General features: G+C 44.1%; 1 protein-coding gene across 3 annotated transcripts in view, besides 3 other annotated features; it reads left to right on the forward strand.

Moving 5' to 3' along the window:
* TNFAIP8 (TNF alpha induced protein 8) overlaps nucleotides 1-14,509 on the forward strand; it is a 130,930-nt gene that overhangs the window by 49,845 nt on the left and 66,576 nt on the right. The gene's annotated exons all lie outside the window — the stretch shown is intronic.
* Nucleotides 10,293-10,980: an enhancer, noted in NCBI's record as "H3K4me1 hESC enhancer chr5:118664591-118665278 (GRCh37/hg19 assembly coordinates)". NCBI's record gives its function as "activates a minimal SCP1, AML or CMV promoter by ChIP-STARR-seq in primed H9 embryonic stem cells {active_cell/tissue: H9 hESC(primed)}" and the evidence as "EXISTENCE:reporter gene assay evidence [ECO:0000049][PMID:30033119]".
* Nucleotides 10,705-10,754: an enhancer, noted in NCBI's record as "active region_22970". NCBI's record gives its function as "activates an Ori minimal core promoter by ATAC-STARR-seq in GM12878 lymphoblastoid cells {active_cell/tissue: GM12878}" and the evidence as "EXISTENCE:reporter gene assay evidence [ECO:0000049][PMID:35858748]".
* Nucleotides 14,137-14,186: an enhancer, noted in NCBI's record as "active region_22971". NCBI's record gives its function as "activates an Ori minimal core promoter by ATAC-STARR-seq in GM12878 lymphoblastoid cells {active_cell/tissue: GM12878}" and the evidence as "EXISTENCE:reporter gene assay evidence [ECO:0000049][PMID:35858748]".

Raw genomic sequence — 14,509 nt, forward strand, 5'->3', positions numbered from 1 at the left:
AATTGATGTACATATGAATCTGGAGTGATACCTGTTATAGTTTTTCAGTTTTTTTTCTTCCTCCCCCCGCATCCTCCTGCCCCCTCCCCTCTCCTGTCCCTCTTCCTGCCCCTCCTCCCCTTCCTCCTCACCATCTCATGAACCCTTGACTCCAGCGTAATGCAGTTTATTAATTCAGAAAACATTTCAGAACCTACCATGTGCATTTTGCATTAATTACTATACTGGTTTTAAAAATTGTTTTAGCCTATTATAGGGTTATTTGAGACACTAAGCCAGTACTCTTACGTGTTTGGGTCCCTTTCACTTCCAGTGGTTGGAATGTTTTAAAATAAGACTAGAAGAATAACAGCTCATATGATATTTGGCATGAATACTCCTTCAGTTTTGGAACAACATACCTGTTTCTTCATTGAATATTAGCAGTGACTCCATAATTCAAGGGATACTTTAATTGTAGTCTAATCCTGGCTTTTGTAACTGTGCTTTTAACTTAATTTATAATTGCATTAAAAGTATTCTTGGCCAGGTGTGGTGGCTGACACCTATAATTCCAGCACTTTGGGAGGTGAAGGCGGGAGAGTCACTTGAACCCAGGAGTTCAAGGCTGCAGTGAGCTGTGATGGCACTACTACACTTCAGCCTGGGCAATGAAGTGAGACCCTGTCCCTGAAATAAGATAAGATGAAATAAAATAATCCGTTTGGATATGTAAACATTTAGGTTTTTCTTCTGGCTTTGGAGTTTGTATTCCAACATGAGGTTTCGAGAAAATAATCAGTTAATACTGTAGAGACCCTTTCCTAAAAACTTGATTTAATGAGAACATTCCAACGTGTGCTTAATAACACGGCAGCTGTTGATGGTCAAATTTTCTCCTATCTGAGAGTCTGAGTGAATGTGCATATGTTGAGTGTGTGGTGTGTATGCGTACACACATGTTGTGGGAGAGTTCTCTGCTAGAATTGGGGAACAAGATGGAGAGAGAGATAATTAAATGAGTGCTTAAGGATTGAGTGGATTAAGTCCAACTAGCCTGGAACCTCTCTGGTTTCTTGGTAACCAGGATTATTATGGGTTATTTCTATGTATATTGGTGCACCTTTTATTCTATTATGCTTGACAGTACCTTCTTTATGTTAAAGAACGCCGAGGTGGATTTGTAGCCCATGTCTAGATATTTTCTAGAATAGAATCTGTTTGTCCATACATGTGAAAAGAACTGGCTTGGTTTAGGAAGTACATAATTAACAAGGTGGGACAGGAGTTACTAGTTTTCGTTTGTTTGAAAGATGTGAAAGAGGGATTAGACATGTTCTGTGTATCCCGAAGGCACAGCACCAGAACCAGTGGATTGAAGCACAGGAAAACAGATTTCTGTTCAGTTCAAGGAGTGTCCGAAGAGATCATGAACCATGGGTTGGTGGTGGGGTGGATGGAGTGTAGAAATTGCCTTTCAGTGGAGGTTGTCAAGACGACTACTGGGAGGGGACACAGGGGATTCAAGTAGTGGACTGGGAGTAGACATTGGACTAGATGATTTTTAAGGTTGATTTCAATCTAGCGACTGTGATTTTTAGGACATATTACATCTCCCGGAAAATGAAAAATGAAGATACATCTGGCAGTTGGGGAATTTCAGATTCATTGGTTCAGGGTCCCTAAAGGCTTTTTCTCTCCAACTTCTTCAAGTCCTCCTGCAATTATATTCTTTCTCTTGCACATCAATTTCTTTCCAGTTATGGAAACATCCCTATCACCATCAGAACATGCCTTTTTATCACCCTTCTTAAAAAACAAGTTAAAGAAATTTCTCTATTCAATGTAGCCTTCCAGCTCTATGGCACTTCTCTCCTGCCCATTCTGGCAGAACTGCTAGAAGACTTGTCTCCTGGGGTGTGTACAATCTCCCCTTCCTGCTGCCCCTCCCCACTCCACTACTCCTCAAAAACCCTTTCTGTTAAGGTCACCAAAGACCTCCATTTTAACAAATCCCATGGCCTGTTCTAGTCCTCATCTTTTTCAGTCTCTCAGTAGTAGTTGGCATCATCCATCCCGGCCCCCTTCTTTTTCTTTTTGTAGTATGACCTTGTAACCACCCCCACCCCCTCACTTCCCTTTGAAGCACTGTCCTGACTTGACTTCCAGGGCATCACATCCCCTTTTTTTCTCCTACCTGAATAACTGTTCTCTCCAAGGGCCTCTACAGATGGAATTGCCCCAGGGCTTAGTCCTTGACTTTCTTCTTCATACTACACTGTCTCTAGGGTTCTTAACCTGCTAAAAAAAAAACAAAAAACGAAAAACAAAAAACTAAAAAAGACTAGACTTGGCTGGGCACGGTGGCTCATGCCTGTAATCCCAACACTCCGGGAGGCCGAGGTGGGCGGATCACAAGGTCAGGAGATTGAGGCCATCCTGTTTAACACGGTGAAACCCCGTCTCTACTAAAAACACAAAAAAACTAGGCGGGCGTGGTGGCCGGTGCCTGTAGTCCCAGCTACTCAGGAGGCTGAGGCAGGAGAATGGTGTGCACCCGGGAGGCGGAGCTTGCAGTGAGCCGAGATCGAGCCACTGCACTCCAGCCTGGGCAACACCGTGAGACTCCATCTCAAAAAAAAGACTAGACTTGGATACCAAGTCTAGTTAATTGAGAACCTTTGGGGAAGACTTGTGGGCATCAGTTTTTGTTTTGTTTTGGTTTGAATTGGTTTTTTTTGTTCATATTTTGTTACTGGGTATACCAGCATACAGCCAAGATTGAGAATCTGGATGATTTCTAGTCCTGGAGGATAAATACAATACTAATAACTTCCAAATTAATGTATTTAACACATTTTTCCCAAACTCCAGATGTGATTATTCTGTTGTCTGTTTTACATTTCCACTAGAAATAGGCATCTTGATTGCATGCCCTTTACCCCACACTGGCTCCTTCCTGGGTTTGCCTTTCGTGCATGCAGCTCTCAGGCCACAAGCCCAGGAGGCATCCTGATTCCTCTGTTCACTCATCACACAGCTCACCTGGCAGCAAGTTCTTTCCACTTGCCCTAGCAAATACGCACATCCTAAATCTCACTGCTTCTCCCACCATCACTTCTCTTCTGGGTAGCCTCAGAAGCCTCCTAACTCCCCTGTGCTCTTGCACTGTCACTCTCAGACAGTCCTTGTGCAATGAGAATGGTCTTATCGCTGATCACAGTCATTCCCTTGCTCCAACCCCCCACGGCTTTCCATTCCAACGGACAAACTCCCCACTCCTTACCAGGAGCTACAGGCTCCCCTTCATGTGGCCTCTGCCCAATTCTGCTACCTAATTTCCTCCCACTCCCTCCTTCCCTGCCTCAGTCAGGCCACACTGACCACCATGCTGTTCCTCAAACTTCCCAAGCTCTTTCCTCCTACTTCAGAGCCTTTGCACACACCCCTCCCTCTGCCTGGAAGCCCCTTCCCTATAGATTGTTCCTTGGCTCTCTCTCTAATTTTTCTCAGGTTTCTGCTCAGATGTTACCCCAGGAGAAAGCCTATCCAAAATGCTCCTCTCTCCCACCCACTCTCTAGCCCCTGCCTCTGGTTTGTTTTTTCCCTCCACAGCGTTTATCTCCACTCAAAATCCTGTTTTTCCAGCTATTTTGTTAGAACTTTTGTCACTGCTCTATCCCCAGCACCATCAGCAGTGCTCACACGCAGTAAATGACCTATACATACTTGTGGCTGAATGATGAAGTGCTACTCCTTGAGGAGTGGTCCCAGGACCTTGGCCCCTTTTCCAGCCTCTGAGCAGACCATGCTGGCTATGGCCAGGATCTCCTGCTAAGTTTATCTCAGAACCTGCTCTCTTCTTGCTGCCTCCCATTTGGCCCCCTGCTGTTTACCAATAACTCCAGAAATACACAGGCGTGGAGAAGTTGAGCAGCCTCTGGCATTTTAATGCTAGGTGGGGACCTTTCACTTCTCTTCCTGACCATTCCAAACGAGTCCATGCTGCTCCCATTTCTGTAGACAGACTGGTCCTCCATAATCCACTTTCCTGATTTTCCTCCCCGTTTTCTCTGTGCCCCTCCTTGGTCTTCTTTGCAGGCTTCTTCCTCTTTGTCCAATATCAAAACGTTGGTATTTCTTAGGCTCCACCTGGATTCTCTGCCCTTCTTATTCGACTCTCTCCCTGGTGATCCCGCCCATTTCTAGGGTTTCAGATTCTCTACATGCCGGTGCCTCCCAAACTTACATTCCAGGCCCAAGCTCTTGTCTAAGTTCTAGACCTGGGTGTCTAGCTAGAAAATGTTCTTTGATGTCTCATAGGCAACTCAAATTTGATGTGAAGAAAGCTGAACTTGCCTTCTCTTTCACTTTTCCCCTTAGTCAATGACCCAGGTAACTATCTCGAAACTTGGAAGGCTGCTGCTTCTGGCCTTACCCCTATGCCCAATCAGTTGTCAGTATAGTCAGTTCTCCCGTGAATAGCTGTACACTCTATATACTGCCTGTCACTGTGCACTGCCACCAACTAAGACCAAGCCACTGCTGCCATCTCTTTCCTAGGTTACTTAAAGGGCAGTTGCACCCCCTACACTTTCTCCAGTCTAACATCCTATGCTGCTATTGGCCTCATAAAATGTCCATCTGATTGCATCATCCTTTGCTTAAAATGCCTCATTAGAGTTTTGATAAAATCTAAACTTTTTAACAGGGCTTATAAGATCCTTAATAACCTGTTCCCAAGCTGGCTGCATTTCTTGGAGTTTCTCGGAAATATCTGCCTCCCTCAAGCACATTCCCACCCCACCCTGCATACATACACATCTCTGGCCACTTGTTTGTCATTTACCCTAGAGTCTAACATAGGGCACAGTAAGGCCTCAATAAATATTTGTTAAATAAAGGTAGGAAGGCAGTGGTCCTGGATTTTAATTGTATGTCCTCACATTTTAATTTAATTTACCTTAAAAATGTAAATGATTCCAGAGTCAAAAGTTGCTGTTTTGTTTTATAGTGCTCTGTATGTTTCCCTCCACTCTGTAGTTTCCAGAGGGTTATTAAAAATGGACTAAAAGAAGCATGTGGGCTTCTGTTAGCAAATCAGTTGTAATCTGTGTTCTTTGGCTGAGTGCTGAGCTTAGGAGGCTGCCAGATGGGGACACAGGAACCAAATCATCTTTGCTTCCCAGTGGGGAACAGGGGCATAAATTGGCTGAATGGGCTTCTGCAGTAAAACTCCTTCAATTTGAGCTTGTGTAAGCCAGGATCAAAATACCTGAGACTTGTTGAGACTTGTCTAGAATGTTTGTTAAACTTTCAAACCTGTTTGGGAAGAAGGCTTGGAACAACAGTGGGTTTGGGTCTTGTGAAGTAAATCTTATTTAAAGGAAATAGACAAAAGCTTAATCATGTTTAATTTGTAACATTATAGGTAAGACTGTTGGTTGCTGTTGTAATGACTCTAAAAAAGAATAGAGAATATTTTTTTCCTTAGAAGTTCCAGGTTCAATGATGAAACCCCATCTCTACCAAAAATTCAAAAATTAGCCAGGTGTGTTGGCCAGTGTCTATAATCCCAGCTACTCGAGAGGCTGAGGCAGGAAAATCACCTGAACCCAGGAGGTGGAGGCTGCAGTGAGCCGAGATCGCGCCACTGCACTCCAGCCTGAGCCACAAAGCAAGACGCCATCTCAAAAAAAAAAAAAAAAAAAAAAAAAAAAAAAAAAAAAAAAGAAGAAGTTCCAAGTTCAACATTCCCAACTTCCCCCTCGGGGCTGGGAGCTCCTGGGTGAGGTTTCTAAGTCTCCATCCTCTCAGAACTCCTATCTTTAACTTCTTCGTGCATGGATCAGAGGGGCCTCCAGTCACTGCTGAGTCACAGGGATAAGCAAAAAGGGAATGACACACTTCCTGCCCCAAGTTCTAGGGAGTTTTTATGGTTTGTTTTTCTGTTTCGCTTTGAAAATTCCCTGAAAAGACAGAAGATTGCCCCAGCCGCCTCCTGATTGGCAGCCTCTATTTATTTATATGATTTCATGGGATATCCTCTCTGCTATGCCTTGTAACTCACAGGGTTTTTGAAACCTTTTTTCCTTATCACAGCAGTATTACATGTTTGTGTAGTGTATTTATCAACTACAATTTGACCAATAAAAAAAAAAGAGGCACTCCTTATTGTCACTACCCAGAAAAAAATATATTGTGCATATCATCATTCCAGGCGCTTTTCTGTGTGCTTATAGTTTTCTCTTTAAAAATTATATATGGCTTAATATAATTTCTTTGCTTTTATATATTGTTTTGTAGCCTTTGTGAAGAGTTCTCATGTTATTAATACTCTGCAAGATCGGTTTTAAAGATTGCATTACTGGCCAGCCGCAGTGGCTCACACCTGTAATCCTAGCCCTTTGGGAGGCTGAGGCAGGAGAATTGCTTGAGGCCAATGGTTCAAGACCAACTTGGCCAACATAGCAAGACCCTGTCTCTTAAAAAATAAAAAATAAAAAAAAAAAGACTGCATTACATGCCATATATGGATGTGCCATAATTTACTTAATCAGTCCCCATGTGGATAGTTAGGCTCTAAAAGTTTTCATATGGGGTCATTGTCATAACCCCGCGCAGTTTCCTTGCACTTGTCCACACTTCTGTCTATTTCATGGGATGTATTCCTGTAAGTGGTTCAAAGGGCCTGTGGAGTTTTAAGGTTTTTGATCTTTATTGTCACTTTGCCTTCCAGATGTTTGTCCTGTTTTACATTCCTGTCATATAATATAAACTCCTTACCATGTCCTATATGGTCTACATATTCTGGCCTTTGCCTAACTCCCAGCTGCTCTATTTTATTTAATTACTTAATTTGTTTATTTATTTATTTATTTTTGAGACGGAGTCTCACTCTGTCGCCCAGGCTGGAGTGTAGTGGTGCGATCTCAGCTCACTGCAAGCTCTGCCTCCCGGGCTCACGCCATTCTCCTGCCTCAGCCTCCCGAGTAGCTGGGACTACAGGCGTCCGCCACCATACCCGGCTAATTTTTTTTGTATTTTAGTAGAGATGGGGTTTCACCATGTTAGCCAGGATGGTCTTGATCTCCTGACCTCGTGATCCGCCGGCCTCGGCCTCCCATAGTGCTGGGATTACAGGCGTGAGCCACCGTGCCTGGCCTCCCAGCTGCTTCTTACAGCTTTCCTCCCCTTGCTTCCGTCACTGTAGCCACACCAGCCCCTGTCCCCTCCTTCCCCTGAAGCATGCCTGGCTTGTCCTGTCTCGGGCTGTAGCACTTGCTCTTTCTGCTGCCCAGACCATTATTCCTGTGGCTTTCAGCATATACCTCCAATGCCACTTCTGCTAGAGTGGTCTCCGTCAGAACCTCCTGTTTATTTTTGCCCTAGCACCTTTCACAATCCGTCCTTCATTTATGTATGTGCTTACTGGTCTGCTGCCGCTTTTTCCCACTGAATGTCAGTTTTGTAACACAGGCAACCCCTTATGTTTCATTTCCCATGTCCCCAGCATCTAAGTCAATGCCTACCATTCAGTAGGTACTAGGTAAATGCAGGTGGATTCATTCATGCTGAATGAATGAAGAAATCACCCTGTCGTTTAGGAATGTGTGGTGTAATAGGGCTGATGAGGTGTGTATAGTGATGGTTACCTCTTGGAGCCAAACATGGCTATCTCTTGGAGCAAAATGTGGGAAATGCTGTAAGTGTCCAAATATCACGGAGATGCAGGAGTGGGAGCAGTGACTGGCTACAGTGTCATGAAAGGCTCCATCTGAGCTGAGCCTTGGGAGACTGGCAGTGTTTTGCAGCTGGTGATGATGGAAAGAATCCGAGGGGCTGAGGAAAGCAGGTGAGCAGAGGCCCAGAGGCAAAACAGTGAAGCACGGTGGGGGCAGGACTGGGGACTGCTTTAAGTCCTATGTTGACTCATGGACTCAGACCCCTGAGCAGCAGGGAAGCATTGCGTGCTCCTCATCAGAGGGTAACATGGTGAGAGAGGATATGGAAGTGCTTTTTAAACTTAATTCTAGGTACACATGGCAGTGTTAAGGGTGATCGGGCTGTGCTTTGAGAAAATGTATCATGAGGACAACTAAGTAAGAAGCACAGGAAGTTCAGGCCAGAGGATGAGCCTGAAGGAGGTTGGGGTGATGGGGCTGGAAATGAAGAGAAAGCAGAGGAGTGTTTTGAAGGTGAGGAAGAGGGAGAGTGGGACCCACGATGACACTGAGCCAGAGAGTTTTAGTTTGAATGACTGATGGGAAGATGAGATATGGAGCCCTAGAAGAGAAGCTGTTTGGAAGTAAGAACATTTATGAATTTAGTTTTGACCCATCCCTTTACTGAATTAGTGAGCCTCTTCCAGATTAAACCAGCCCGTGTGCCCTCCATTGTCCTGAAGGGGCTTGGGTGACAAGAAGATAGAGGAGACAGAAGTATATACCACAGGATAGGGGCTCGGGCTCCCATGGCCTCTTCCTCCTCTGTAAGAAAAGGACTGCATTTGTGGAAAGGGGAAATGAGGCTCCAACTCCTTTCCAGGAGATGAGATGTTGTTTCCTGGAAATGTCTGTTCCCAGACCCCCATTGGGAATGATTTGCTGCCAGCCCTGTCGTTGAGTAAATTTCTTCATTTTGTTAGGCTGAGGCGGATGGGGGCGGATGTGTGTTGACTGTGGAGTACATGAACATGTGGGCTCAGGGTACAGATGGGAAGAGGCCCAGAACTGGGTGACACATCATATTTTCCCCACAAACATTCAAAAATGATGTGTGCTTTTCTTAGGGGAAAAAATCAAAAGGAAAATACTCAAGACGTTATAATTCTGATTGCTCTCTAAATTGGAAAAGGTTTTATTGTTTTGGGTTTTTTTGTTTGTTTGTTTTTTGAGACAGAGTCTCGCTCTGTTACCCAGGCTAGAGTGCAGTGGCGCGATCTCTGCTCACTGCAACCTCTGCCTCCTGGGCTCAAGCGATTCTCCTGCCTTAGTCTCCCAAGTAGCTGGGACCACAGGTGCCCACTACCACGCCTGGCTAATTTTTGTATTTTTAGTAGATACGGGGTTTCACCATGTTGGCCAGGCTGGTCTCGAACTCCTGACCTCAGGTGATCCGCCTGCCTCAGCCTCCCAAAGTGCTGGGATTACACGTGTGAGCCACCGTGCCCGGCCGCGTTATCTTAAGCTTTACAGCAACCCTAGGAAGGAGGTTATTATTATATTCACTTTACAAATGAAGTGACTGAGGCACAGAGAAATTAAGTTACTATTTCAAGGTCATATAGTAAGTGGCAGAGATTAACTTGAACTCAGATATGTCCAACTCTAAGCTGTTACATTATAATACATGAGCTTAAGAAAAGAAGCTTCTGCTTGAAAGTATGGGAAGATCTAATAATGTCTAGCTAAGTGAAGTAAGATGAAAGAAAAGAAAGGGACCAGGTCTCCCTGCAGGGAAGAAACAGACCATAAGGAAGATCAACCCAGCTGGGCTTGAAATGGCTTCCAGGGAAGAACCTCAGCAGTTTATAAACATTTTAAAATATAATCTAAAATGACAATATACTTACATTGTTCAAAAGTCAGAATGTAAATTTATAGAGCAGAAACGCTCTTATCTTTGCCACCCACTGCAGTTCTGACCCTCAACCCTTGCCCTTGTTTCCAAGAGACAACTCGGCCTCCCAAAGTGCTGGGATTACAGGCATGAGCCACTGTGTCCAGCCTGGAAAAGTTTTTGAAACTTACTTCGCAAAAAAAATTTGGTTTGAAAATAGCCACATGGGTAAAACTACATAATGAGAAAGCTCTCTGTCCTCTAGAGAGGGAATGGAGAATAGAAGTGCTTGGCTAGCATTCTCTGGATTGTTGTCTTTTCAAGAAACCACCTTCTGCTACCTTAAAAACAAAAGGAGGTTTAACAGAATGCAAATGGAAGTGAGAATGGGAGACACACAGATGAGAAGACAGCAGAACTTGGTGAGTAAGTGACCACCCAAACCAAGGGAGGAATCAGTGATGACTGAGTGACAAGGTTGTGAAGGGAGCCAGAGAGGTTAAAACAGAGAGAAAAAAATAACAGGTTGGTGATGGAGGGAGGATGAGAAATTTAACTTGGGAAATATCATATGTTCCCTTATTAGCCAGAATTTCTAGAAATTTACAGAGAAACTTACCTTACAATTGGATAGTTTTTCTTGGCAAATTGAGAGTTTAATTAGTTTAGTATTTTATTACGAGGGATCATGTTCAGTTTTACATGAGGTTTTGCAATGGAAGAATGCTATAAAATGTCAGGCCTCTGTTTATATTCAGTTCAGTAGAGAATAAACCACATTCAAGTGCCAGCATATTTATTGCAGCCAGCACTCGGTGTTTCTTTGCTTTCTAAATGCTGATTTAGTGTTTTCATTGGTGCTGCAAGTGTGAAGAGAGACTTGAGCATGAATCATAGGAAGACAGACGTAGATGCTCATTCTGCAGGCCTAGGACCCAGCGAGTGCCGCAGCTGTGCTGCTCACAGCTAGTGGTGGGATTCTGGGCGTGCCTTTCAGCCTCCTTGGATGGCCCTGTTTTCCTCGCTTGTGAAATGAGGTTAGATGGTATCAGCGGTCTTGCCAACACCCAAGTTATCTGATTCTAAGAGAAATTAGAAGATAGTCTTCTTTTTTTGCTTCTAACAACATTTTTACACAATTTATACTTAAAACATAGAAACAAGTACTACATGATAAAAAGGCCTACCTTCCCACACTTACCTTTTGTGCAACCCATTTGGGCAGGCAACGTGAATGGCAGCTGTGGTGATGACAGACCTGAGCAGTCTCTGCCCCTGTGCTGGCCCTCAGCAGCAGCTGTTCACACTGCTTAACTCACTACTCTACCTGGCCTTGTGAGGTCTTTTGCCTTTCTGTTAAATAGAAAGGTGTTCTTCCTATTTTCCACACAGTTTGCTTTTTGTGCTTTCTGTCTGGTGAATCATGGATGCTTTTGCGATATGATATGAAGAGAAAAAAGCCAGCAGATGTAGGCTCATATCCCAGCATTCTGCTGAACAGATATGTTAACTTTATGGAGCTGGGTTTCCACACCTGTAATCCGAGGATAATGACGCCCACCTCCCAGGGTTTTGGCGAGGAGTGAGTGGACCACAGTGAGAGCACCATGCACACTGTGGACATCTCCAGGTGCTTAGCAGCAGGATTTCCCCAGCCTTGTCTAGACATGGACCATGCAAGTCCATGTCCAGACAAGGTTTGGGGAAATCCTGTGCTGTGCAAGGCCTCCTTTATGTGAGAAGTGAGTCTGACCATCCGCCGTCTCTGTTAGGCCATCTGGAAAACGCTTCTGAGCATATTGTTTATCTCAGTCCCTGAGTCTCCTGGAATAATTCCTTCTCAGCCTGCCTTCCTCCCTGCTTCACCAATGACTCTTTCCTCTTTGAAGAAGAGGAGAGAGACAAAGAGGAGTAAGTTGAATAGAGGAGGGGGAAGCTATAATTAGCGCCATGGTTTAGGCACGCCATTGAAAGAGTTAGCATGGGCAGGATTCAGCATACGAGGAGGGTACAGAGAGGACTGATGGGAAGAGAGGAAGGTTGAACAGAAAGAAAATGAAATTAATCTTGGCAGCCATGGCATTAAGCACTAGGGATTAGGGAACGTCCTGGGAATGCCAAAGCATAAAGGCCAAGGTGTTTTGTAGACATTTCCAGTTCTGTCTGAGGCTGTAGAATTAGATGAAATAAACAAATGAAAGTATCTTTTTATGCAGACACAAATGTCATCACTCTTTTGATGATTTTGTTGAATGTGCTTCTGATAAGGATGTGGGTAGCTATAAAGGAAATATTTTTCTTGGGGTATGTGATAAGCAGTTGATGAAACTAGGCCAGCGAGAGCATGTGTGTCTAGAGATTGTTCTGGGAGGGTAGGGGTTAGGCCTCATGGCCTCTCCTCTCAGCCCTGTCCTATTGTGCAGGGTCCTGCTGAATATGCTGCTTAACCTCTCTGCTCTGACACTCGCTTTGGAAACTGGGATTGCCACCCACTTTCGCAGGGTGTGGGGAGAGTGAAATGATGTAAGTGATAGTCTCTTGCTCTGAGATGCCGAGATAACGTGGAGTACACACACACGGAAGGGAAGGATCTCATTTTCTCATGGCCACCATCATGTGTTTGCAGAGAGATAGAGAAGAAGTACCAGATAAGGTGGCCGCAGACTTCCCTAATGACAGCTTATTTGGTATTACTGTGACACTCCAGGCTACCTCCATGACTGCCAATGCCAGTTGCACTCTCAGGGGCTGGGGGTTAGGGGTTAGGGTACAGATTAGCCCTGCGCTTCTGCTGCAGAGTTGTGCCCACCAAGAAAAAGGCCAAGAGCCAACTATATTCCTGAGCACAAATTGCTTTCACGAAGCTAGGCCTGGACAGATTCTTCAGCCACTAGGCCACCAGGCAGGGCTCCTAGGGCTGGAAGTCCTGGCTGCCTCCACTCTCCTCCTTGCCTTGAAGCATGGGTGATGCATCCACATTGGGCAATCATCACAATGTTGATCCCTGAACCTACCTAGAGTGTCTTAATTCACAAGTCCTAGGGAAGCATGGAAGTGCTGTGCATAGTCATATCTACAAAGAGATATTAGCTTTTTTTTTTTTTTTTAAACATAAGGCTATTCTGTAAGGTTTGACTGCTTCACAAATACTTACTTGAGAATCTCCCTGCTCTCTAGCCTATGTCTGTGATGACTCTTCTTTGTTCCCAAATCAAGTAGGATAAGCAGGATGCTAACTGCTGGGACTGGTTTAAACAGCACACTTTGAATAGATCCGGGGATATCTTGGGCATTCTAGTCTCAAGTGAGAGAAAAGGAGTGTCTTAGGGAAATGTCTGTGCAGATGCTTTGCTTTTTGTTCTCCTGTTTTTGGAGAGCTCTCTCCAAAACCAGGAGTTTCCTGCTGGGTGTAGAGGTGCCCACTGGATACATGAGGCTACCATGTCCTCTGCCCTTGCCTGGTGTTGGGACCTTGCTGGTGCCTCCCCGACTGGGCCTGGAGCATGTGTAAGGGCCCTGATGCCATGAAGGCAGTTGTTTTCACATAGGACTGCAGGATTCTTCCTCCAGCCTTGTCTTCCTGCAGCCTCACTGCACTGCCCCATCCTCCCCTAGCAGAACTGGAAAGAGTGGTTCCTAGTGACCACCTAGCCATGCAGCCACCACTGAGGTCACATTTTAGGGAAATGTGAGAGGCCTGTTCCACTGTTTAGATGCAGTATTTCTGCTCTTTGTAGCTTACCCTTGGAATTGCCAGTGAGTCACAGCCTGCGAAGTCCTTGTGATTTAGGGTCCTGCACTTCCAGGAAGAGCTTTCTCTTGACATCTTCTTTGACCCTTAGTCCCTGATGTTTTCATGGCATGAAGGGCCAGTCAGAATTTGGGGAGATAACACAAAAGAACACAAAAATATGGTTTCTAAGGTATAAGTGTCATATCGCTATGAGTTAGTCACATGATAATGTAGGCCAAAGAAAATAAGAAATACAGAGATATGTTTGTAAATTGATGTTGATTTGGTATCTCTTTTGGCCTCCTTCCCAAATTAGTATTGGGCATTTGATTTTAATTTAGGTCAATAATAATGCTCATTACTGCTTGAGAACTCTATGTGCATCAGGCAATATGTTATTTGCTTCACGTGGTTCTCGTTAAATCTTAATAGCAATTCTGTGACATTGATGATGTTATTCTCATCTTACGGAAGTGCAAAATTATTCAGGGGTGTTAAATAACTTGCACGTATACACAACCAGAAGGTGGCATAAATAGACTCTGAACCAGACCTTGGAGAGTTTGTCCATCACCTTCCACTTTTTTTGCTAGGTGCTTGGTAGTTTCAAGGTAGAGTGTTATTGCTACAGAGTATAGAAATAAAATCAAGAAGCTTACCATGTAGGGAGAGTAAGATAGATAAACAACTGAAGATAATATAAGGACAGCTGTGATAGATACCAAAAAGTGTTACCAAGAAAGGTCAACCAAGGTGCAGTAGGGGCTAAAGGAAGAGATTGAGATCATACATACCTAATAGGGATCACCAAAGAAAAGCCTTCTTAGAAGTGGTACACTTGAATCTTACTTGGGGGAGTGGATAAGGAAAGATTTGTGGGTGGCAATGACTGCCAAATGCCCACGTAAATAAACAGGCTCCTAAAGAAACTATTAGATTGTATAAATGCATGTATGTGTATGTGTACATGTGTGTATTGTGTATGCCTGGATACACTCACACTTACATTCATTATGAAAACCTTATATACTCTTCCAAAGCAAAAGGCTGATGATTTTAAGTAGCAACATTGTCCAAACTCTATTCTTAGTTCTCCTGAGAACAGAAACACCTCTGAGCAATACGTATTATTAATAGACGTTCATGTTTATACAGGTAGGAATGAGGTGTTTTTTTTATTTTCTTTTTTTCAGGCATCTGTGAATGGGGCCTCTCCCTTTTTTTTAGTTTTTTTTT

This window comes from Homo sapiens, chromosome 5 (assembly GCF_000001405.40).
Source record: "Homo sapiens chromosome 5, GRCh38.p14 Primary Assembly".
In the NCBI taxonomy this organism is placed as follows: Eukaryota; Metazoa; Chordata; class Mammalia; order Primates; family Hominidae; genus Homo; species Homo sapiens.